We start from the raw sequence: 26,526 nt of genomic DNA, 5'->3' as shown, positions 1-26,526 counted from the left end.
TATTTGCCTTATAGAATGAGTTAGGAAATGATTCTTCTATTTCCTAGGAGAGTTTATGTAAAATTATCATGATTTCTTCCTAGAATATTTCATTGAACTCATCTTTAAGATTGTCTGGGCTTTGTAATTTCTTTATGGCAAGTTTTTAATCACTGGCTCAATTTCATAATTGGTTATAAGGTATCTCTGCTTTTTATTTTTACTTAAATAAGTATTGGTAATTTATATGATTTAGAAAATTGTCCATTTCGTCTATATTTTTAAGTTATTATAATCTCCTTTTGTGTTTTCAGTCTCTGCTGTTTCTAAAGTTATGTATACCTTTGAGTTCCCAATGCCATTTATTTTTGCCTTCTACACCTTTTACTTGGCCAGTCTGATCAGAGATTTGTCTATTTTACTAGACTTTTCAAAAAACAACTTTTGCCTTTATTGATTCTCACTGTGGTTGACTTGTTTTATATTTTATTAATTTATACAATGATCTTTGTTGCCTATTTCCCGTGAATTAATTCTGTTGTTCATTTCCTAATGTCTTCAGTTGAATATTCTAAACATTAATGTTCAGACTTTCTTGTTTTCTAATATATGCATTTAGGCATATAAATTTTTCTTACTTTCTATATGCCCTTTAATTTTTATATTTAGAATTTCAATATCACTCAGTCCTAAGTACTATCAAATTTCCATTATGGTTTCTTCTTTGACATTTAGAAGTGTGGTCATATATTCCAAAACGAGGTAATTTTTAAGTTCATCTTTTCTTATTGTTTTCCGTCCTGTGCATGCAAAGCTCACGATTATATCAATTCATACACAGAATCTGGAAATCCTCTTCTCCAGTTCTCTCCTCTGTGAGATCCACCCCTCCCCCCGGTCGGCCCCCACTTTCAGCTCCCGGGCCTCCTTTTCTGATACTTCTTTCTCTAAAGCCAAGACTTGCTCAGCATTTGAGCCACCTGGGCTGCTGCATTGTTTTACACAATCGGGGCCACTCTTAGGGTAAAGCAGTCAGAGGAAAGAGGAAAATGCAGCCACAAACTCTGGTCCCTGGAATTCCCCTTTCCCAATACTCGGTCCAAAAAGACAGGCTCTCTCTCAGTTTTTGGCACCTGTGTCACCGCTGCACTGCAGAGCAGCTGAGGACAAAGGCTGCACTCAGGGCTGGTGGGGAAGTCCTCACACTCAATTAACGGGGATTCCCACTCCCGTCTCTGACTCACAGCAGCACCTTTTCCTGGTCCTCCGGTTAGAAAGGCAGGGTTTCTCTCTGAGATTTTCTTGCCAGCACTTGTTCTGCATTGGGGCCCCAGTTCTACACTGGGGCCACTCTCAGGTTAAAGCCAGAAAATAAAAGAGGAAGGCAGAAAAATTTATCCTCAGACGATTCATTCCTCAAGTTTTGACTCCCTTCTCCAATCGTCCTGCTATTGTGAACTTTCTAGAGTCTTCAGGTGGTTTCATTTTGTACATTGTCCAGAGGCCTCAACTATACTTGGTGGGAAGGAATAGGCGTGTTATTCCCTCTTCACCAGCCCCAGAAGGCTCATCTCTTGCTTTTATTGAACTCAGGTTTAATTCAAATTATGAATTTTGTACTTTTCCAGCATTGTATTATATTTTAGCTGAGGGTCCTTCATCTGCAGACAGACATGACGCTGGAAGCAGTAATCTCCCACTTTCTTTTCTAATGACTCACAAGCAATCTTTTTATTTAACATTAATAATACATTTCAGACATGGCCAATGAACGATATTAAGCTGTTTCTGTATGGTTCTCTAAGTCTACTCTTTTCACTTAACCATAAGTACTTGCTGGGAACCTCCAATGTTGAAGCACTGTGCTAAATGCTAAGGAATATGGAAATAAGACCAATAGATCCTCAGGGCATTCACAATTCAGCAAGGAAAACAGACACATATAACTGCTGTAAAACACTCTGATAAGTGCTGTGATAGGTCACTGAAGTGTTATGGTGGCCTGGAACTCGATAGTTCCAGCAAGAGACTGGTTGGTCACAATGTGCTTTGGAAAGGAGACCACACATTAGTTAGCTCTTGAAAGATGAGCAGCATTTTACTATGGGAAGGGCATTCAAGATAAAGGAGAGGACAAGCACTGTCACAAAAATAGAAATGCAAATGGCAACTACCATTAACAACAATGCATTATATACCCAAAAATTGCTAAGAGTAGATTTTAAATGTTCTCACAACAAAAAAATAAGTGTGTGAGGTAATGGCTATGTTAATTAGCTAGACTTAGCCTTTTCACAACATACACGTATATCAAAATATCATGTACACCATCAATATGTATAATTTTTACTTGTCAAATACATAAAACGAAAGGTAAGACATTTTGTAATTTTCCAGCATTGTGTTATATCTTAGCTAAGGGTCCTTCATATGCAGACTGACATGATGATGGAAGCAGAAATCTCCCACTTTCTTTTCTAATGACTCACAAGCCATCTTTTTATTTAATAATAAATTCAGACATGGCCAACGAACAATATTAAGCTGTTTCTGTATAGTTCCCCAAGTCCACTCTTTTCACTTAGCAAGTACTTATTGGGAACCTCCAATATTGAAGCACTGTGCAAATGCTAAGGAATATGGAAATAAACAAGACAAATAGATCCTCAAGGCATTCACAATACAATAAGAAAAACAGACACCTATGACTGCATGCTCAAAGGAGATCAAGATCAGGTTTTCCACGTTTTGCTCTTCACCAAATGAAGCATCTCTTTTTCCAGAAAGTACTTTACTCACAAAATAACCTAGTTCTGGGAGCCTTTATGATGATGTCCCTGATATGGAACATAAACACCACACACACACACACACACACACAGAGATGTCATCTTGGCAGTTCTGCCTTGCTTATGAGGCTAACTCAGTTGGTTTTATTTTGCTACTTTTCCAAATTCAGTAAAACATCACAGTTTTAAAGACTGGACTGGGACCTAAGTCAATACGTAAGACAGGAATTTTTCTGAAGAAAATTATCAATTTACCCCAGAAATACTTTTTAATATTTTACTGATAGGCAAACATTAATATTCTTTTTTATCCTTTTTTAAATGAGTTCTGATATAAAAATGAATAAAAATTGGAAAAGCATCCATGAGCATTTACTTAAATCTTACTTATTACATAAATTAAATACTCCTCTTCAAATGGCACTACGGAAAGGTATTTTCCTCTCCCTATAGAAGTCAGTAAGTGTATTGAGTTTGCTGCCATAACAAAGTACCACAGACTGAGTGGCTTAAACATCAGAAATTTATTTTCTCACAAGGCTGGATGGTAGATGTCTGAGAACAAAATGTGAACAGGGCTGGTTCTTCTGAGACCCCTCTCCTTGGCTTGTAGATGGCCATCTCCTCCCTCTGTTCACATAATCTTTCCTCTGTGTGTGTCTGTGTCCTAATTTCCTCTTCTTATAAGGACATCAATTATATTGGACTAGGGCCCACCAGTATGACCTTATTTTAATTTGATTAACTCTTTAAAGATCCCATCTCAAACATGTCACATTCTGAAATACCGGAGATTAGGACTTCAGCATATGAATGTGGGGGTGGGGGTGCACAATTCAGCCCATAATAGTACACTTAAGACAACCTACACAAACCAAGCCAATATTATTAATATTTCCCCCAACAAACAGACCCACCACATATTTTGGATCACTTTGTTTTATTGATTAAATAAAACCATGATATATTCATATAATGGAATAGTATAATTGCCATAAAATGGAATAACCTTAAAATCATGCTGGAGAAAAACATTTATATTTACCTATGTAGTTACTTTTTCCAGTGTTCTTTATTTCTTCATGTGGATTTGAGTTACGGTCTAGTCTATGGCCATACCACCCTGAACACACCTGTTCTCATCTGAGTTACTATCTAGTGTCTTTTTATTTTAGTCTGAAGGACTCCGTTTATTATTTCTTGGAGTACAAGTCTGCTAGCAACAAAGTCTCTCCATTTTTGTTCATGGAATGGCTTCATTTCTCCTTCATTTGTGAAGGATAATTTTGCTGGATATGGAATCTTGGTTGCCAGTCTTTTTCTTTCAGTGCTTTTAATAATGTCTTCTCATGGCCTTCTGGCTTCCATGGTTTCTAATGAGGAATAAGCTATTAATATCATTGAAAATCACTTGCATGTAATGAGTTGTTTATCTTTTGCTGCCTTCAAGATTCTACCTTCATCGTCATGTTTCAACAGTTTGATTATGATGTGTCTCAGTGTGAATCTCTTTGGGTTCACCTTACTTGTGGTTTGTTAAGTTTTTTAGATGTATAGATTAATGGTTTTCATTGAACTAAAGACTTTCCAGTCATTACGTCTTCACATAATCCTTCTGCTATTTTCTCTTTATACTCTCCTTCTGGAGCTCCTATTATGCGTACGTTGGTATGCTTGCTCTGTCCCACAGGTCTCTGAGGCACTGTTCATTTTTCTCCATTCTTTTTTCTTTCTATACCTCAATAATTTCAACTGACCTATATTCAGGCTCACTGATTCTCTTCTGCCAGCTCAAATCTGTTAAGTTCCTGTAGTAATTCTTTTCTTTCATTTATTATACTTTTTACTTCAGAATTTATGTTGGGATTTTACATGTAACTTATTTTTATTATTGATATTCTTTATTTGGGGAAACAGTGTTTCCCTAATTTCCTTTTGTTCTTTAGACATGGCTTCTTTTAGTTCTTTGAACATATTTCAAATAGCTGATTTAAAGTCTTTCTCTAGTGAATCCAATGCCTAGGCTTCCTCAAGGACAGTTTCTATTGACTGCTTGCCTTCCTGTGTATGGGACATACTTTCTTATTTCTTTGCATGTGTCATAAATTTTTGTTGAAAACAGGCATTTTAAGTAATATAATGTAGTAACCCTGAAAATCAGATTCTCCCTCCTTTTCAGAGTTTTTTGTTGCCATTGCTATTTGTTTTTTAGTAACTTTCCTGAGCTAATTTTGTAAGGTCTGTACTTTTTGTGTATATGGCCACTAAAGTCTCTGCTCAGTTAATTTAGTGATCAGCTAATAATTAGACAGATTCTCTTAAGAGCCAGTAACCAAAAATCTCCCAGTCTTTGTCAAGGGTCTCTATGCACATGGTGGGACGTGCCTTCAACATTCAGTCAGGCACTTTACAACTGCATTAACCTTCACCTCCTACTTGCACAGAGACTCGGTGTCAACCAGAAGTGAGAGCTCAGGGCCTTCTCTGGTTTTTCTTGGGCATGTGCACAGCCTTACACATGCATGTGGTCTTCTAGTTTCTCAGGAATATGTCAGAGCTTTCCAAAGCTCCCTGTGAACCTCTTTCCCCAGAATTTCTTTTTGTTCTTTGATTAGCTTGCTATTTTCCCCAACTGTTATCACAGCCCTATTTTCTAGCCACTTTACCATAAACATGTACTTCCTTGGTGGAAAAAGAGTTATTGGATCACCTTTTCCTCTTGACTTCCTGTTTGTTTCTCATTCTGAGCCCACATATCACTGCCATCACCTGTCTTCACCCCACCCTCAAGCACAGATAAAGAAAATAATTCAGAAGAGAAACGTTGTTTGAGAAGTAAAATCAAATCAGTGTTGACCTTTTTTTTCCTAATACCTAAAAGCCCTGCAATGTTTGTTTTAGAGGCATAAAGGCGGGGCTTCTGTGGGTCATTCAGGGAAACATTGAAAAAGGGTCACATTTCGGTTTTGAGATTAAGAGGAAGAGCACAGAGCTGGCGTGAGGGCTGGTGCTGGCTCAGGCTCTGACAGCTGTAGCTGAGTCAACCACATAGGTCCCTGGCACCCCAGTTTCTTCTTCTAGACACAAGGAGCAAATGCAGTGCTGCAGGAATGTTGTGTAGCTCTGGATCCTTCTGTGTAAACATTCACAGGTATTCTCTTCTCCCTAATCCACCTGCATTCAGCACAAAGCAGCTGCGTAATACTTATTGGTGGTCCTAACAGATGACATACTGACTGGCTGGCTGGCTGCTCTCCTGAATGGACACAGGGCCACAGTATTATATTCATGAGTCCCTGGTGAGCTTGCCTTTGTAAGCCCCTTGCCCCATTAAAAAAATGTTTTAAGTTATATTTTACAACTGTGTTGGCATAAAGATAAATATATTACCATTCCATCTAAAAGTTTATCTTTTTCTGATTTTAAAAGAGTTAAAACATTTTCACGGGCCTCTAAAAGTATCATGGGCCATAGACACCACGCCTTTTTGCCTAATGGAGAAGTCAGCCCTGGATTAATGACTGAATGAATGTTTTCATTTCCTGAGAATTTGTATAAAAGATTTCTTTGACCTCAGAAAAAAATTTTAAAAAACCACACGTGTCATTTCTCATATCTTATGCCACACTTGTTGCCTATTTTTATTTTCCAAGGAGGTGGCTGGACTTTTCCTCATTCTGCCATTTCATATTTAAGAGAAAGCTACTTCCTGACTCCAGGGCTGCTGGTAGCTCACGTGGTGCTTTTATGCAAATTACAAAAAGGCTTCTTATCTTTAAGAAAAGGGAAAAGTGGCCAGGAGCAGTGGCTCACGCCTGTAATCCCAACACTTTGGGAGGCTGAGGCAGGCGGATTGCCTGAGCTCAGGAGTTCATAAACAGCCTGGGCAACACGATGAAACTCCGTCTCTACTAAAATACAAAAAAAAATTAGTCGGACATGGCGGTGTGCACCTGTAGTCCCAGCTGCTCAGAAGTCTGAGACAGGAGAATTGCTTGAATCCTGAAGGTGGAGGTCGCAGTGAGCCGAGATCGCACCACTGCACTCCAGCCTGGGCGACACAGCGAGACTCCATCTCAAAGAAAAAAAAAAAAAAGAAGGGGGAAAAGCTTTTAAAGTAGTTATGATTGCACAGTCTGAGCAACTATGACCACTGGGCCTAAGTAAAGTGCAAATTCAGGTGGGTGACCCTTCCAACTGCATCTGGAGCCACAGTCATGGCCTGTGTGTTAATGGCAGGTGGGAGGGTAACACTGATCTGTGGCCTCTAGCTTAAAAGCAGCCTAAGTGTAGTTCCATATATGAAATTTCATTCTAAGTCTGTGGCCAAAGAGCTCAAATCCCATTAGAACCCAGGCTAAACCTCCAAGAGCAGTAGGAGGCCAGAGTCATGGCTTCAGGGTTCTCCCAGAGCAGAGTGGACCAGACATAGCCATGCACATGCGAAAACTTGTGTGCATTTGCACACTTGATTTCCTTTGCATGTGCATGGCCATGCAGGCAAATGTGGCTTGATGTGGGCCAGGACTCTCTCATTGTTCCCCAGGACTCCCTTAAGAGGCCTGGAATCTCCATGGCACATTAGCATGTGTCTACAACATGAATGACACCTACTAAGTGTGGCATCGTATGCAGGTCAGTCTCAACAGCTGCATGCAGTACTCCTCCTGGCTCTCTGTGACTCCTTGGCCATGGAAAGCCCACACTTACATATGCTAAAGCCTCCATTCTTCTCTCTGCAGGGATGACATGCCAAGCTCGAAGCTCCTACATCACCAGTGAGATCCTGTGGGGTTACCGGTTCACACCTGTCCTGACCCTGGAGGACGGGTTCTACGAAGTTGACTACAACAGCTTCCATGAGACCTATGAGACCAGCACCCCATCCCTTAGTGCCAAAGAGCTGGCCGAGTTAGCCAGCAGGGCAGAGCTGCCCCTGAGTTGGTCTGTATCCAGCAAACTCAACCAACATGCAGAACTGGAGACTGAAGAGGAAGAAAAGAACCTCGAAGAGCAAACAGAAAGAAATGGTGATGTGGCAAACCTGGAGAATGAATCCAAAGTTTAGTGCCCTAGCTGGGCAAACCCTTCTCTTCTCCCCCCAACACAATCTTTCCTTGTCTCTCATTCTCTTTCTTTTTCTGTCTCTCTTGCTTTGTTCTTTATTTGTTTATATTTAATTTTTACATGACCAGAAAACAAATCTTCAAGGTGTAAAATATCTACCTGCCCTCTCTCAGTTATTCAGATTGACAAGGTAGACATGGATTTGATGAAAGTGCAAAGTGCCCTCATTTGTGGCCCAAGCCTGGTCTCCTCCCAAAATACTACACATCCAACTCCTGGAGATTTCAGTTACTTACCTGCATGTGTTGTACAATACCAGATCACTCAAAAAGGTGTGTCAAAGATTTTACCTGGGATATGACAAGCAAGGTTTCTGGTGCCTATTTATTCATTCAGTGAGACACAGAGTGGAGCCCTCAGTTTTATGGATCCCAATTCATTTCATCTACTACAGGGTGAGGTGCTTGCCCCCATGTGGGTGTGGCAGTTACAGGGCCCAGGTGAGCTGAAGACAAACCACTGTACATATATATGCCTTATGTAATTATTTTCTTTTTGTAATTAGTAATAAAACCCAGCATGTACAAAAGTACCATAGAACAGAACTGCTAAATACTGTACATAGATGTATCATTAATGTAGGTTTAGATATATAACTTTAGAAATAAGAAGCAAAAAAAAAAAGAAAGAAAGAAAGATTCCTAACATGCAGTAGGCATTTCTGTTTTGATGTCTGTGTTTTCCAGGTTATTTTGATCCAGTTGACGGCTGGCCCTTCAGTGCATGGCCTTTGTTTGTGTCTCAGACTGGCAGACGTTAGGGTACCTCACTGTTCCCACACGGATCCTTTCATTGAATCCAACAAGCCATAGGTCTGGGGGAAATTGAGAGGTCTGGTAGATGGCAAAACCCACCACCAATATGCTGATATACTGTGAAATGTTACAAAACAGATGTCTTTTTTTAAAAGATAACAAGGGCCTCACTAACTGGCCTGGAGGAGGGGGAATACCAGGAAGGAAATATTCTCTAGCCTGTCACCAAAGGTATGTTTTTACTTTTCACATGAGCTCTTGCCCTTTGTAGTACAATAATTTAGGAAACTTTTCTGCAAAACCATTGATTCTCCAGCTGTAGTTTCTCTACACTCTTACAATGAGACATGGTAAGTTAGCAGAAGATGGTTTGGGTCTAAAGCCGTGAAATTCACAAAGGCATGTAGTGAGTGGCATGCATTATAATCATCGACCTCTCACTTTGACTCTATCTGGCTTTCTGAGAATGACATCTCGCCTGTCCCTGGGGCTTATCCATCAGCATTTCTTGCATTGTGATCTTTTATTATTTTGAAATGACCAGAGTTCAGTATTCAAAGATTAGATCAACAATCTTGATGATTGTCTAAGAAATGTCTCTAGAGTATGCCACAGGCTAGAAATCAAATCCAGTGTCTGTCAATCAAAAGAAAACAAATAAAAAAATTCCAGCCTTAATTCACTTTAATCTGCAAAAAGGAAAGAAGGGAGGAAGGGAGGGAGGAAGGAAGGAAGGAAGGAAGGGTATTTGTACTGGAAATCTGAATTTTAAAATGAAAAAAATAAGGAAACAAATCTTAGATCAAACCTCCGGGGCAGGTGGAGATTTTGCACTGTTACAGATCTTTCACATTCACTTTGCATTTATAAGCTGTTTGTTCTTTAACACAGTTGCCCATCATAAATATTCATTGAATGGATCCAAGTTTATTTTCAGCTCCTACAGCTGTGCTCAGTTTGAGGCTCTGCACCATGGAGGTCAAAGAGATCAAACTAGCTGTCCCTCTTTGTTTCCCTTGCCTTCCCTGACCTGATCGCACAGGCCTTTGGTGTAGTCTGGGGACCTTGTCTACTAAAAAAGAAGTCCCAGGATAAGGAAAGTGGCTCCTAAATATAACCTCGGGGCCTCTCTTCTCCCATCTCAGAGACCTTGGATCAGGACAACTGCCTCTTGGCACTGACTTTAAGGAAAACAAAACTGTTGGCTATAGCCCTTTCCTGTTTGCCAGCATTTCCTTTTTTGCATTGAATCTCTGTTGAATCATTTCTTTATTTCGCACACTCTAAGAAGGAGGTGGTGGTCCGGGAGGAGGAAGCTCGATACACTCCCCTTGAGGCTGCGGGGAGGAGCCATGGCTTGACCTCTCTGCAGCCTAATGAAGGGCACTCTTGGCTTGGGGAGCTCCCCTGCAACCTTGCCAGGGTCGCAGGGCAGGCCATGGCAGGCACAAAACAAGATGGAATAGGGGCGGCAAAATGTCTTCTAATTTAGCTCTTGAAGACTCACTGGGCCTTTTTAATTCCATTGCTAAGGTTTAAAGGACAGCGCACACCCCCGTGTCTGGTTGGAAGAGCAAGCAGCTCAGGGCCTCATCCCTGCTTGCCTGCCCTTTAGCACAACTGAACGAAGAGCCTTGACAACACGTTGGCCACGTGCACCTGTCAGTTCTGTGTCTGTGACGGGCACCCAGATGTGAGGTCTCTCCCTGTTTCTCACTGTCTTTGTTGTCAATGTAGTTGGAGACAGAACTTGAACCAAATCTCGTTTTTGTAATGTGAGCCTCTGAATCTTTACATGGGGATGCTCCTGAAGAACCTTTTACTAGAATGTCCCTATCAAACATGTCTATTTTTCTACAGTTGTTAACACAGTTTAACAGTGTATTTTGTGTCAACTGTTAAAATTTGGAACTGAAAGTTCATTGAGACTGATTTTCTAAGCAGCGAGTAGTGAGTGAATGGTGTTTTCCATTAAGACAGCTCAACAAAATTGACCCCACAATTTCCACTCATTCTATTCCGCAATATCCAGTCCTCATTCCCTCAGTCACTCCATTAGCAAACCAAGTGCAATGAGAATTTTTTAAAAGTCTCTTTTAATACAACAGTATCCATAACTAATGAAGATCACTCTCAACTAGATCCTTTGGTCTGTTTGGTTAATGTATTTGAGTCATTTTTCCATAAAGCATGGTGGGATCCGTGAGCCAGATAAGAATTTGGAATTTAAGGGTTATGGTTTGCCACAGTTGACCCCAATTTGACAGAACAAAGTGCTCCTGGATGGAAGGGCAGGTTCAGCTGCAAGCATGACCCCCCACCACAAGGCTGCTGAGTTCCTCGGATTCTCACCTCCACCCACCCCAACGTGCTCTCCAACTGGAAGAGCACCCATTCATTTATAAATCAACTTTATGGAACCAATAAAATCATTTCTGTTTTAGCTGTCCCCTGGGTAAGCTATACTCTTTTACATTAACATAGCAAATGTCAACTTTTCTGTTCCTTCAAACATGGCCTTCCAGCCTGGTTGTTCCAGCATATATCCCCTCTATGTCCATGAGGCAGAACTCTCTCTTCCCCCACTCCGTTCTTCCATCTATCCCCATCCTTTGCTGTTTCCCTGGTTCTCCAGTTCCAATTCTATTGTTTTAGTTCAGTACCTTATGTTCCCTAACAGAAATCCAGCTGCAAATGTCAACCTATTTCTTAAGCACAATTTTCTCTTGCAGGTCTAACCAAGCTAGGGCTCTGAAATGTCTATTTTTCACTGCACTCCAATTTAAAAATTATTCATGACTTCATTTAATAGTCTAAATTTTGAATTCTCCAGAGCAACATTCTTATGCTTTCCATCCCTACATTTTCTTACATTTCAGTTTTCTTACTTTTTTCCCCTTTGCTTTTTTATTTAGATTTAAGCCAGTGTCTTTGGGATATTTAGAAACTGCTTACAAAGGTGGGAACTGGTGGACAGAGAAAGGGGGCATAAGAATGCTATTAGAAAACTACCTGAACTCACCAGAAGAATGGGAAATCATTTGATTTGCTGAGAGAATACAATTAAAATACTCATAGTAAATCATTTCCAAAACAGTTTGCTAATAGTCTGGCTACTCTTCAGTCTTTCTTTCCTTGACTTGGGTGATACTCTGTATGATTTAAAAATGTCAGGAAGGTAGTTGAAAGTTCAGTGTCCTCTATATATTGTAAACATTATCTTCAAGGATGATTTCCTTTCAATGGATGGCTTTAACATTGAAAAACATAGGTAACATATACATAATAGATGATTCATTGATATTACTTTACAATACACTAAAATAACATTATCTTGTTTCTGAACTTTATGGCCAACCGGTATCTAAGAAAATGTTAGCCTTTAATTTAAAATTGAGTAAAGCACGCCTCTTCCTAATATTTCTGCCTTTAATGTCTTGAGTGCTTTAGATGCAGAGTGTCATCTAGAAGTCAAAATTCTGTCAGAAGGCTGCTAAGAGATTTTGATAAATCACAGAATATATAATAATAACCCAACAATATTTTACCCAACATGGTGTGGTGTTTGAGAGCATTAAGAGCACTTGTACAAATTATCTTATTTCATTCTAATTCACCATGAGAGGTTGAGTATTATAATTTACATTTTATAGAGGGAAAACTAGGGTTTGGGCAAATTGGCCAAGTTTAAAGGCCAGTGAATCATAGCTCCTTGTCTCAAATCCAGGTCACAGGGCCCTAAGCTGTGGGCTATTTTTACTACAAAAAATTTCAGCAAACCAAATCTGCTAAAAAAAAAAAAATCTGGCCTGCTGCCTGTTATTGTACCACTTGTGAGCTAAGAGCAATTTTTACATTTTTTAATAATTGGGGGAAAAAAAAGAAAAGAAGAATATTTTGAGACATGTGAAAATCATCCTAAATTCAAATTTCAATGTCCACAAACAAAGTTTTATTGGAACACAGCCACAGCCATTTGTCTGTGTATTGCCTATGGCTGCTTCCACATGCACTCACAGAGCTGAGTAATTACAACAGAGACCGTGTGGCCAGCAAAGATTGAAATATTTACTATCTGGCCCTGTATAAAAAAAGTTTGCTGACCCCTGTACTGTACTGTTAAGTACTATTGGTACTATTAAGTACTAGTAATAGTACTATTAATAATAGTATGTAAGAGTACTAAGTACTATGAAATATTGTACTGTACTCTTAAGAGAGTCCTAGGCAATATAGAAGAATGACTTTTTTTCTAGCATAAATTATTGAAGTCACTCATAAGTCTGTTCAAAATAACATAACTCTTTTTTTTCGGTTGTCAAAGAGACAACTGCTTCACAAGACTTAGAGAGCCCAGTCATTCAGTTAGGGTCTCAAAGGAAGAATCCTTCCTTTTCATGCCATTCCTCCAGAGTGGCAAATAGAGTCAACAGCCAGCCAGGATCTAGCGGTCAACTCAGAAAGTGGATACAGTAAAATTACTCCTTAATGAACTACAGAGAAATGGGCATTCCCAGCCCAGCCGCTGAAATATTGCTTCAGTGGCACCCTCAGGCGTTGGATGATGTACATAGCTCAGGCTGCCAGTCTCTGCTCAGCAAAGCAGCCCAGACCTGCAGTGGTTGCCACACATCAAACCCGCCTCGCTCCTCCACATGGCTTCTCTCTTAGGCTCTCTTGGAGGAGAGTTAAATAGGTGGCCCAGATGTCTCCCTCTGTTTTCTTGCTAGTTTTCTCTAGCCTACAGTTTACAACTGATCAAGGTGATGAACGTGAACCTGGAACTAGCTCATGTTTAATTGCGCTAGTTTTTGCTCTCTCTAGCCACTAAGCTAGAAGTTTAATGTGTAATTAAAGAACTAAATGCTTCTTATGGAAAACCAAAAGGTCCTTTGAAAAGAGCTCAGGGAGACACGGAAGTATAGTAAAGGGTTGTTGGATTTCTTGCGCTTTCTGAGTCTGAAGCAAAGACAAAGATTGGTAATTACAGACATAATGGATGGAAAAAGTCCAGACCTTGGGGTTTTTAGATGAGTCAATATTAAATGGCATTCTTTGTGTCACTAAGCTGAACTCCCTTGTCTTCTAAGGAAGCATTTCTAATGCCAGAGGTAGTCAGCCAAGCTAGGTTCCTTATCTTTTTAGTTCTATGGAAAAACATATCAAGTTCTCTTATGAGTGCTTTCCTGGAAATCAGATGAGAAAGAAAAAAAAGTAACAATGTAACAAATCATTGTGATGTTGTTATATTGTCGACAGATAAAGGATGGATTTGATCCTGCGTCTGAAACTAAGTAGGTAATGGTATCTACAATATAGATCATGCAAAAAGCTTGTGACCCTTCAACTGCATGGAAGAGTGGGAGGAAACAACTAAGTGGGAGGAAACAAATCTCAAAGTTCAACACCATAAAACTTAAATAAATGTAAAAGGAGTCAAACTTTTACTTGGCCTCATTGCCTTGGTAAAAGAAAGCTTCATGTATCCACCTAATTCAATAAGAGAGTCCTAGGAAAAGGAAGGCAAAATACTTTAAAGGCACACAAAAATATTTCACTGGGGTGGTCAACATGATTAAGTGATGGAGATTAGATTTATCACTGATGAAAACAGTATTTATAGAGTTATTTTTAGACACTATACCCCCTAGATGCAAATCCCAACATGCACTGTGGTTGGCCGGAGAATTGTGGCCACATAGTAAACAGATCTTGATTTCAGAGAATGAAATGTTCCTACCGACTTTGTGTAATTGCCCATTTCAAGATTAAGGCTCAGTGCCCATTGTTTTAACACCGATCATCAATACTGTGATATCAACTAAGCCAATCTTTATAAGAATATGAAGGGCTGTTTTTCTCAGGCAATGTAAATATCTGCTACCAACAAGCACTAGTGAAATAAACATGTAATCATCATCGTTTCTAAAACTCTGATAGAAATCACAAAACATTCAAGCAAAAGGGCAAGGTCTTCCAGGAGCCTAGGAGCAGACTTTTGGCTACAAAGAGCCTAGTCCAGGCTGAATGCCTTATGGAGTATGTCAGTCTTGGGTCTTATCACTAAACACAACTAGTAGAACTCGATCAACTGGAGTGCAGAGATCAGAGTTTCGGTCAGCCGTGCATTACCCAAACCTCTGGGTCTTCAGCCAGTCTTCTTAGAAGAGGGGAAGGAGCACTGTCCTCAGATCCGGCCATCACGGGCATCGCCCTGACATCATCTCTCAGCATTGCTGACTGTGGGCATGGGTATGAGAAATACCCTCCCGTAGCTCAGACTTGGGCAGAACAAAATCCTCAGCCATGCCCACCCACTGAGGTCTCTCTAGGGGAGCTTCTCCCTGCAGGGTCTGGCTCTTGCCCATCTGGACAATGACCCCCTAGAAGTATCTTCCGGGGGACCCTGTATCTTTCAAGCTTAACTTGCCCCACACCCTTGACCCCACAGAGCACCTCCCTGGGTCAGGAATGATGACTAAATTAAGACCTTTAGCATCTGCTAAGCACAGGGGTGCCCTCCCATGTGAAAGTCCAAGTAAAATAAATGGAGTCAGGGTAAGGAAATCCCCAAAAGTTCTGATTTTCTCATGGTGATGATCTCAGTGCTTTTCTTTTTCATGACATATCTAATTCTCTTTTCTCTAGGAAGTCTCACGTTTTGGTATCACGATGCCGTGGGCACAGACTCAGTCATCGGGCCAATGGCAGAACTCTCTCCAGATAGTCTGACCTGGTCCCTCTTTTTGAGTAAGGCTGGGAGTTTGGTTTGTTTGAGCCACCCCACAACCAATAGAATCCCACCCTGGCTAAGAAATCTCACAAGGCCGGGTGCTGTGGCTCACACCTGTAATCTCAGCACTTTGGGAGGCCAAGGTGGCAGATCACCTGAGGCCAGGAGTTTGAGACCAGCCTGGCCAATATGGTAATACCCCGCCTCTACTAAAAATATGAAAAAGTTAGCTGGGCATGGTAGTTCCTGCCTGTACACCCAGCTACTCTGGAGGCTGAGGCACAAGAATAGCTTAAACTTGGGAGGGGGAGGTTGCAGTAAGCTGAGATCATGCCACTGCACTCCAGCCTGGGCCACGGAGCGAGACTCAGTCTCAAAAAAAGAAAGAAAAGAAGGAAGGAAGGAAGGAAGGAAGGAAGGAAGGAAGGAAGGAAGGAAGGAAAAAAGATAAAGAAAGAAGGAAGGAAGGAAGGAAAGAAAGAAGGAAGGAAGGAAGAAGGAAAGAAAGAAAGAAAAGAAAGAAAGAAAAAGAAAGAAAAGAAAAGAAAAGAAAAGAAAAGAAAGAAAGAAAGAAAGAAAGAAAGAAAGAAAGAAAGAAAGAGAAAAGAAAGAGAAAGAAAGAAAGAGAAAAGAAATCGCACATCCCCACCTCTATCAGGGTCACCAAATGAAGGCATCAATTTCAAGTCCCGTTATTATCTGCAAGGAACTCTGCATTGCAGCACTTACAGACACAACTTATGCTGTCTCCTGGTGCCCACACAGCTTTCGGGTGATGGCAGATTGTCAGCCAACCATTCCCCCCAGCTGCTCTCTCTTAATTTGCTCCCTCATCTCACCACGAAAACTTCACTTTTCCTGGCACCCCCGTTGGAAGGTTAATATCATTTTTGAGCATCCACAATCCAGCAACCTATTATTGGGGTTAGTCCTATTCCTTACCACTTAATAGCCACCACCAATTTTAACCGAGCGTATATGTTCAGAGTCTAACCATATATATATATATATATATATATATGTACATTTTGTTCCTGCTTCATAATTGCCCAGAGAGTCTATGAGTGATGGTTGGGCGTATACATGGTCTCAGCCCGGTAACTGACGAGAGCAGCATAAAGTTAGGTCTTGTGCTGAAAGGACAGCTGGACTGGTCCAGTGGGATCTTCTTGTCCTTTGCAGCATGCCATTAGGGGACCAGCTTGCCAAAGAAGCTCCTGAACATCTTTATTCAGCCCAGTGCTTCCTCGTCTTAACCAAGAGCCACACAGAGACAACAGTGAACTCACAAGTTCATAGGATTCCAAAATGATTGACTCCCCAAGTGTCTGCCTGTGTTGGCAAAGTGCTCTTTCCTTTCCCACTGTCTGCACAGACTGTACTCTGGGGAAACTCCCAGCACTTGTGGGTGCCTGGTTACCGAGGATGTGCTTGGCTGCCATGGTAACTCCCAGCCTCTCAGTGTGGACCACTCTCCCGCAGGCTCGAGGAGACCTGGCAGAGGCCCCATGGGGCGGAGGCTCCCTAGGGCTGCTCCACCTGCAGACAGCCTTGGGAGAACCCAAGGTAATGTGGAGTAGGACCCAGCACACAGGAGCTCCCTCCGCACGCCAGGTCTGGGGTATTCCCATCCTTTCTTCCTAAGATGGGATGCACTTAGGTGGCCAAATTGCTTCTTAAAAGGCTCTTCTTCAAGCCATCATCCTCATATCACACTCATGCCCACACTCCAGTCACATTTGCCTTTAAAAAATTTTCAAAATTATTTTTGTATTATCCCATGTAACAGATGTCCAAAGAGTTGCCATTTTCTTAACACTAAATAAATTCTGCCTAGAAGATTAAGATTGGTCCAGAACAGGGAGTGTTTTAATAAGCACAAATATAAACAAAAGCAATTTTAAAATTTACTTATGGATTCTTTCAGAAAACCTGATTTCAAATCAGAAATACTCATTTTTGCCCCCAGAGCAAAGTTCCAGAATACTATTTCTTCTTGAACTTGCCATTTTCCATCTGGCTTTGAACTTGAGAATAGACTCCCCTATATTGGCATAAAAGGTAAAGTGGAATTTACCACTGAAACTTTCAGAGCTCAATTTAGTCTGGCCCCATGGACCAGGCAAGAATAAACTCTGCTCACCAGTAACAATTCTGCAGCCACCGTACTGAACACAAACCCTGGAGAAATTCTGGACATGGTACTGCTTAAGAATGCTGGGTACTCGGGAGGCTGAGGCAGGAGAATGGCGTGAACCCGGGAAGCGGAGCTTGCAGTGAGCCGAGATTGCGCCACTGCAGTCCGCAGTCCGACCTGGGCGACAGAGCGAGACTCCGTCTCAAAAAAAAAAAAAAAAAAAAAAAAAAGAATGCTGGGAATGTCAGTCGAGGGTCTGATTTCAGAAAGAGGACATTAATATTCAAATCCCTGAACCATGCCCACACTGTGGGAGTCAGGCCTAACAAGATCCCAGGGTCCATAGTTTACCTGGTCAGCTTGCTGTGTCTCATGGGGCATTAGAGGGTAGATGAGAACTTTCCGCAATCTCGACAACTGCACTGTAAGAATTTCTTCTGTGTATTTTCTAATTCTGTGACAACAGGCATCAACAAAACATGTGGCCTGTTATCACATGGTTCCTCCCTGTGTGCACCTTCATAGAGATTTTTTCCTTTTCTAAAAGAATGAGGATTCCTCTGAATGTTACACTATGCAACAATAATGTCCCCAGTCCTTCATAAGTAACACAGTAACAATATAAGCACCCTCTCCCTACATAACACACACACATACACACAAATACACACACAGACACATGCATACACACACACATACACACAGACACATGCATACACACACATACAGAGACATGCGCATACACACACACGCATACATGCACATGCATACACACACCAAGACATGCATACACACACGCATACACAGAGACACATGCATACACACACGTGCATACACACACAGACATATGCATACACACACGCATACAGACATGCATACACACACATGCATACAGAGACACATGCATACACACACGCATACACACACACGCATACACAGAGACATGCATACACACATGCATACAGAGACACATGCATACACGCACACAGACACATGCATACACACACACGCAGACACAGACACATGCATACACACAGAGATACACGCATACTCACACAGACACAGACACATGCATACGCACACACAGATATACACACACACACACACACACACACTCTTATCCTTTCCAATCAGTTATGAGTGACACCACAAAAGTAAATTTCCAGAAATCAAAGCCTTAAGATTGGCGTTCCTCCCCTGCATGCACTGTGGCATTATTTTAAAAATGTACCATACACTTCCCTGAACCTGCAGGCAACAGCCTTTCTTCCAGTGTTTGGTAGGAACCCTGGATTCAGAAGACCAGGTTTTGCCCCCAGATGAGCAATGTCGTCCTGGGTATATCATTTCACTGGTCGGAAATAGCTTCCTCCACCCCTTTTTTAAAAACTTGATAAATTTTATTTTTTAGAGCAGCATTAACTTCACAGCAAAATAGAGCAGAAATTACCAAGAGCTCTCATTTACCCCCGGCCCCCGCATGCATGGCCGCCCCCACGAGTGATATGCCAAACCACAATGGTACATCTGTGGAAATGGATGAGTCTACACTGAGACATTACTATCACCCCAGAGTCCATTGTTTACAATGGTGTTGTACATTCTATGGATTTGGGCAAATGTATAAAGGCATGGATCCACCATTATAGAATCATACAGGATAGTCCCACGGCCCTAAAAATCCTCTGTGCTCTCCCAATTCATCTTGTGTCCTCCCAACCCCTGGCAACCACTGATCTATTTACTGTCTCCATAGTTTTGCCTTTTCCAGAATGGCATATAATTGGACTCATGCAGTACGCAGCCTTATAAAATTGGCTTATTTCACTTAGTAACATGCATTTAAGTTTCCCTCATATCTTTTTATGGCTTGAGAGCTCACTTTTTTAGCACCAAACACTCATCCATTTTCTGGATGTACCACTGTTTATTTATCCATTCACCTACTGAAGGACACCTTGGTTGCTTCCAAGTTTGGTCAGTTATGAATAAAGCCACTATAAATATCTGTATGCAGGTTTTTGTGTGGACATAAGTTTTCAATTCATTTGGGTAAATATGATATGTTAAAGCTATATTTAGTCTTGCAAGACACAGCCAAACTGCCTTCCAAAGTGGCTGTACTGTTTTGCATTCCACTAGCGATGAATGAGGGTTCCCGTTGCTCCATATCTTCACCAGCATTTAGTGTTGTCAATGATCTGCATTTGGGCCATTCTAAAAGATGTACGGTGGTGTTTCATTGCTGTTTTAATTTGCAATTCCCTAATGACATGATTTGGGACATATTTTTATATGCTTGTTTTCCATCTGTACATCTTCTTTGGTGAGGTGTCTGTTCAGGTCTTTTGGGCATTTTTTTAAATCGGGTTGTTTTCTTATTGTTGATTTGTTAAAGTTCTTTGTAAATTTTAGATAATAATTCTTTATCAGATGTGTCTTCTGTAAATATTTTCTCCCAGTCCGTGGCTTGTCTTCTCATTATCTTGACCTTGTCTTTTTCAGAGCAGACGCTTTTAATTTTACTGAAGTTCAGCTTATCATTTACTTCTTTCATGATCATGTCTTTGGTGTTCTATCTAAAAATCTATTGCCATATCCAAGGTCATCTAAGTTTTCTCTTATATGTTACCTTCTAGGAGTTGTATAGTTTTGCATTTTACATTAGATCTGTGACCGATTTTGAGTTAATTTTTGTGAAAAGTGTTTGTTAGGTCTGTATTTAGACTCTTTTTTTTTTTTTTTTTTTTGCCTGTGGATGTGCAAATGTGCAGCTATTTCAACACCGTTTGTTGAAAAGACCCTCTTTGCCGCACTGTTTTGCCTGTGCTCCTTTGCCAAGGATCAGTTAACTATATTTGTGTGGGTCTGTTTCTCAGCTCTCCATTCTGTTCCACTGATCTATTTGTCTATTCCTTCACCAACACCACATCGTCTTGAGTACTGTAGCTTTCTTTCTCCATATAAACTGCAGACTCAGTTTTTTGGTACCAACAAAATAACTTGCTGAGATTTTTATTGGGATTGTATTTAATCTACAGAGGAAGCTGGGAAGTGACATCTTGACAATATTGAGTCCCTCCATGAAATGGAATATCTCTGTATTTACTTAGTTCTTCTTTGATATCATTCACCAGTTTTGTAGTTTTCCTCATGTAGATCTTATACATATTGTTAGATTTATACCTTAAGTACTTCATTTCAAGGGATACTAATTTAAATAATCATGTGCTTTTAATTTCAAATTTCACTTATTCATTGCCGGTATATAGGAAAACAATTGACTTTGTATATTAACTTTGAATCCTAAAATCTTGCTATAATCCCTTATTAGTTCCAGGAAGGTTCTGGGGCTTGTTTTTGTTTTGTTTTTTGGTCAGTTATTTCAGATTTTCTACATAGATGATCATGTCATCTGTAAACAAAGACAAAGTTTTATTTCTTCTTTCTTCCCAATCTATATATTTTTATTTCCTTTCCTTGTCTTATTGCATCAGCCAGGACTTCCAGTATCATGTTGAAAAGCAGTAGTGATGGGGACACCTTTTTTTTCCTGATCTTAGTGAGACAGCTTCAGGTTTCTCACCATCACGCCATTTAGTATGATGTTAGCTGTAAGGTTTTTTTTTTAGATATTGTTTATCAGGTTGAGGGGCTTCTCCTCTATTCCTGCTTTACTGAGTGTTTTTATCATGAAAGACTGTTTGGATTTTTCTGCATCTGTTGATATGATCATGCAATTTTTCTTCTTTTGCCTGTTGATATTCATTACATTAGTTGATCTTTGAATGTTGAACCAGCCTTATATACCTAGGACAAATTCCACCTGGTCATGGTGTTTAATTATTTTCATATATTGTTGGACTTGATTTGCTAATATTTTGTTGAGGATTTCTGCATCTATGCTTATGACAGGTATTGGTCTGTAGTTTTCTTGTAATGTCTTTGTCTGGTTTTGGTATTAAGGTGATGCTGGATTCATAGAATGAGTTAGCAAGTGTTCTCTCTGCTTCTAGCTTTTGAAAGAGATTGTAGATAATCAGTATCATTTCTTCCTTAAGTCTTTGGTAGAATTCACCAGTGAACCCATCTGGGCCAAGTGCTTTCTGGTTGGGGAGGTTACTAACCATTGATTCAAATTATTTAACAGAGATATACCTATTCAGATTGTCTATTTGCTCTTGTGTGAGTTTTGACAAATTCTATTTTTCAAGGAATTGGTTCATTTCATCTACATTATCAAATTTGTGGGTATAAAGTCATTCATAAAATTCCTTCATTATCTTTTATTATCCTTTTAACCTCCATGGGATTGCTAGTAACGTCCCCGCTCTCATTTCTGATAGTAGTAATTTGTGTTCTTTCTCTTTTTTTCTTAGTTAGCATGCCTTGAGACTTATGGAGCTTATTGATCTTTTCAAAGAATCAACTTTGTTTCTATTTATTTTATTGATTTCCTATTTTCAATTTCGTGAATTTTTAATCTAATTTTAATTATTTCTTCTCATTGGCTTACTTTGGGTTTAATTTGCTCTTTTTTTCTACTTTTTTAAAATGGAAACTTAAATGATTGATTTCAGATCTTCTTTTGTGCTATCTGCATTCAATGTTATAAATTTCCCTTTAAGCATTGTTTTTATTGCATCCCACAAATTATAATAAGCTATGTTTTTATTTTCATTTATTTCAAAATATTTTTTCACTTATCTTGAGATTTCTTCTTTGACCCATGATATTTACACGTGTGTTGTTTAATCTCCAAGTATTTTGGCATTTTCCAGCTACCTTTCTGTTACTGATTTCTAGCTTAATTCCATTGTTATCTAAGAGCAAACATTGTAGGACTTGTATTCCTTTTTTTTTTTTTTTTTTTTTTAAGACAGAGTCTCACTCTGTTGCCCAGGCTGGAGTAGAGTGGCATGATCTTGGCTCACTGCAACCTCTGCCTCCGGGGTTCAAGCGATTCTCCTGCCTCAGCCTCCCAAGTAGTTGGGACTACAGGTGCCCACCACCAAACCTGGCTAATTTTTGTATTTTTAATAGAGATGGGGTTTCAGCATGTTGGCCAGGCTGGTCTTGAACTCCTGATCCCAAGTGATCTGAGAATTTCTATTCTTTTAAATGTGTTAAGGTATGTTTTATGACCCAGAATGCAGTCTAACTTGATGAACATTCCATGCAAGCTTAAGCAAAAAGACTAATCTGCTGTAGTTTCCTCATCTTTTTCAACAAACATTTGAACCCCATAGTCTCTGCTTTAATAATTCTAGTATCCATTCCAACCTACACCACCATCAGTTCTAGACTGTACCTCTACACTAAATGACCCCAGATGGTTCAGCTTTAAGTCTCAGCTGTTTTCATCATTTAACTGATTCCCTTGCTGGCAGCAGGGAAATTAACTACCAGCCACACACTTGTCTCCAACAGCACCCACCGACCACGTCCTGCTCCCCTGTCATTACCACCACTAAACCCGGTAGCAGAGAGATGAGCTGTGAGGTAGGTGCCTTCTAGATAAATGAGGTGCTACTGGACATGCACTGTGGTCTTCTCTGCAGTAGAAAAATGTCCAAGGAAGGTCAGCATCATTGATAGAAAATAAATGTGAGGCTGCATCTCGCCAGCTCATCCATGAGCAATTCCTTCAGCTCCAGCAGGCTACTGACAATTTGCTTTTAACCCAAATCCAGCTCTACCCTCCCTAAAGCATGCACCTAGGGCCCCAGTCAGAAAAACAAAACAAAAACTAAACCAGACAGGATAATTAAGGAGGCAAAAAGCTTAAACCATAATATTTTAATTAAGCTGATTTATTTTAACCGTAGCACTACTGCTTTATTTTAGTTATATACCAGTAATGGAAAATAGTGGCCACTTTTCATTATTAATCATAAGATAATTCATTGTATTTGTCTTTCCTAATAAAATGGCATTATATTAAGGCCCAAAATGTTTACTATGGCCCAGTAAAATATAGGGTTGTTCTGTGAGCTATTTCTTAGGATAGAAAATTATTCCAGAAAGCTATTAGTTCAAAAGTCTCTAGCAGTGCCAAGGTTTCAATAGTCTCTTTAATTTTGAATCTATGCGATTGAAGATAAGACTGCATCTAGTTTGGGGGTTGCATGTTTGTGGACATTCATGTTTCTATGTACCTGGAACTTCTTATTCTCACCATCACACAGAATTTTCAAGAACTAGTTAAGCAAAGAAAGCAAAGCCCAGCAGGTGTCAGAATTGGGTCCCCAAGCTGAGGGTCATTAGGGTGCATGTCAGTGTGCCAACTCCAATATCCACACCTAGAGAACGCACATCTTCCCAAAAGAAATGAAGCACAGATGATACTTGATCCTCAACTTTGTCTCCAGAAATTTTTTCAGGAACTTGAGTTCTTTATCAAATGCTCACATCCTACAGAGAAATAAAGTGTTCCATTTTCAAGGTTCATGAAGCTCGTCAATGCTGGGAGCAGGCACACACTTGTATTTTTATACTCAGGGATCCCAACAGGCAACTAAAACTAGACAAGGACAAAACTCCACTCAAAATATTCTGAAAGTTAGCTGATGCCCCATATTTTATTACTCCAAATGTGTATTCACTTGCCTGAGTGCTGGCCATGAGCACTCAGTGAACACTTGCAGTACAGTGAGTGATGTCCTTGACAAGTTACTATGAAGACTCTGAGAAAAAGTAACATCCCCCACTGTCCTCAACAAGCCTGTAATCCCATGGCTGCCAGCCCTTACCATGCAACAACACTGCGCTAAGTGCATCGAACCACACAAAACCCTGTGAGAAAATACTGCTTCCCACTTCACACGTGAAGTAACTGAGTCTAGTTTTAGAAATACCTAAACGAAGAGGGACAGGCACAACAAATTTGCTGGAATGTAAAGAAAGTAGATCAGTTTCTGCGTAAGCAGTAAGAAATGGCCTCATGAGGAAGAAAGGGACATTTGCCCTGACATTTCTCAAAGACTGCTTAGGTTTTGGAGACAGAGATCCAAGGGCAGGCAAGCACAATGGTTCATGCCTGTAATTCCAGCACTTTGAGAGGCCAAGGTGGGAGGATTGCTTGAGCCCAGGAATTCAAGATTAGCCTGTGCAACACAGCAAGACCCCATCTCTATTTTAAAAAGAGAGAGAGAGATCCAAAAGCAAAGGCATTTCAGTTTGCAAGGCCAGCATGGGAGAGGGTCTTAAAACAGAAACACACAAGGTAAGATTGGGGGATGGTACCTAGACCAGCCTAGGATCATAGGATTTGATAAAATATGCATTTGGAAAACTGGTGCTAATTTATAGAGACTTAGAATTTCAGGCTAAGGACAAGGACTAAGAAACGAATAGCATGAACAGTATTATTGATAAACCCATCATTGCATCTTAAAGGCTCTGAAGTCTTTAGTATTGAATTAAAAAATAATTTTCACTGGACAAAACCAAAAGGTCTTTACACAACTGTCAAGCACTTTGAAATGATTCAGCAAAAAGCAGAATAAATCACTAGTGGAATTTCAATAGCATGTAGTTGTAAACCATCATGTGTCCAGCAAAATCACAAAACAAGAGTTTATTTTAGAAGGGACTTAGGGATATTAAGAAATATAACATACAAAATAACTAAAGTTTTCTCCAAGCAAAACCAATGATCCTTTAGGGATGAACAGAAAGAAAACAAGAAATGCTTCTTTCAAAAGTTGCTACCAAGGCTTCTAAGATTTCTTTGGAATAAAGTCACTAAGATTTGCTTCTGAGGTCAATCTTGCCAACTTTTCCACCATGCTTTTTAGGAAGGAACACCAGGTAGGGCTCAAGTACTGGTTTGGCTCCTGTCCCATTTTTTGGTCCTTTTGTAACTCCCTTTACTCAACTCCAAGTATGTCTGTGCACGGACAATGAGACGAAAGCATGCTCAATGCGAAAGCACAAATTATGTATTGAGAAATCACTACAATGCCAAATTTTTTTAAAATAAAAAAAAAATATATATATATATATATATCTTTAAGAACTCGCTGTGTTAGGGAAACTGTTTACATATTGAGGTGTTCCTCTTTTTTTGACTGGAACAATAAAAGAAAAATTTGATATGGCCTTGGTTTCTTTTTTATGTGTGTCTGTGTCCAAAGAAGTCGGCCTTTTCTACAAGTGAGAGCATGAATTGTTTCAAAGCGCAACACCCTGCCCCAGGGCCACTCAAGATGTCAGGCATATCAGGCATAACCCAAGGATAGTACCATGGGTTTGGAGTGATCTTCTCTCTTCTTCCCTCCCACTCTTCCTCTCTCTCCATCTCTTTCTTTCTCTCCCTAACTCTCTTGCTCCCTTTCCTCCTTCTCGCTCTCCCCCTCCTGTCTCTTTCCCCATCTCTCCCACAATGTTCTGCCTATGGCCAGATCCCAGCAATGGGTCAGCTCCGCTCCTTTCCACACCTACTGACCCAAGTGGGACTCCTTTGATACCTGTTTGTACCTTGCACTTCATGGAACTTGAAAAAAACGAAAGGGAATTAGGGACTTGCAGAGCAGTTGATCCTGCCCCTTGTCACAGCTCTAAGAGTCTTAATAAAAGGAGTTTGATCATTCATGATAAAGTTCCATGTTGGACTAAAGAAACATTCCGTGAGAGTTTTTCGTGTTCTCAGTGGTCCATTTTGCATGGGTTGGCTTTGCCAAACTCCAGTGCCTCGGCTCGGCTCTAACTCCTCCCCACCAGGGAATCTCGGGCTGGTGGCTTAGCCAGCTGTCCCTCTCTACCGAGGCGTGCAGGAAGCCAAGGTTTAAAATGACACGTGAGTTGCCTCATACTGTAACATGAACAAAAGTCATGTAAAAATGTGCCTAAGATAAATTCTTTCCCAGAAGCTAGTGTTTGGTGAAACAAACCCTGGGACATCGTGTGTATTTCGTCCTGATTTTCCTAATGTGCCCCTGCCAATATTACTGTTGTGCCTGGTGGAATTATTACCCTGTCCTCTGTGTCCCCCAGCCCCTGTGT

The 26,526-nt window shown here is 40.3% G+C and overlaps 1 protein-coding gene and 1 long non-coding RNA gene across 2 annotated transcripts in view; one reads left to right on the top strand and one right to left on the bottom strand.

Moving 5' to 3' along the window:
- KCNJ6 (potassium inwardly rectifying channel subfamily J member 6) overlaps nt 1–25,622 on the top strand; it is a 309,085-nt gene extending 283,463 nt beyond the window's left edge. The window contains exon 4 of the mRNA NM_002240.5: nt 7,511–25,622. Within this exon, the coding sequence (NP_002231.1) occupies nt 7,511–7,836 (326 nt within the window). The 3' untranslated portion in view covers nt 7,837–25,622. The remainder of the gene's footprint in view (nt 1–7,510) is intronic.
- Nucleotides 1–26,526, bottom strand: part of KCNJ6-AS1 (KCNJ6 antisense RNA 1) — a 222,067-nt gene that overhangs the window by 107,708 nt on the left and 87,833 nt on the right. The window lies entirely within an intron of this gene.

The sequence above is a fragment of the Homo sapiens genome, chromosome 21 (assembly GCF_000001405.40).
Source record: "Homo sapiens chromosome 21, GRCh38.p14 Primary Assembly".
NCBI classification, from domain to species: domain Eukaryota; kingdom Metazoa; phylum Chordata; class Mammalia; order Primates; family Hominidae; genus Homo; species Homo sapiens.
Note: the sequence above shows the minus strand (reverse complement) of the source record. Positions and strands in the feature narration are given on the sequence as shown.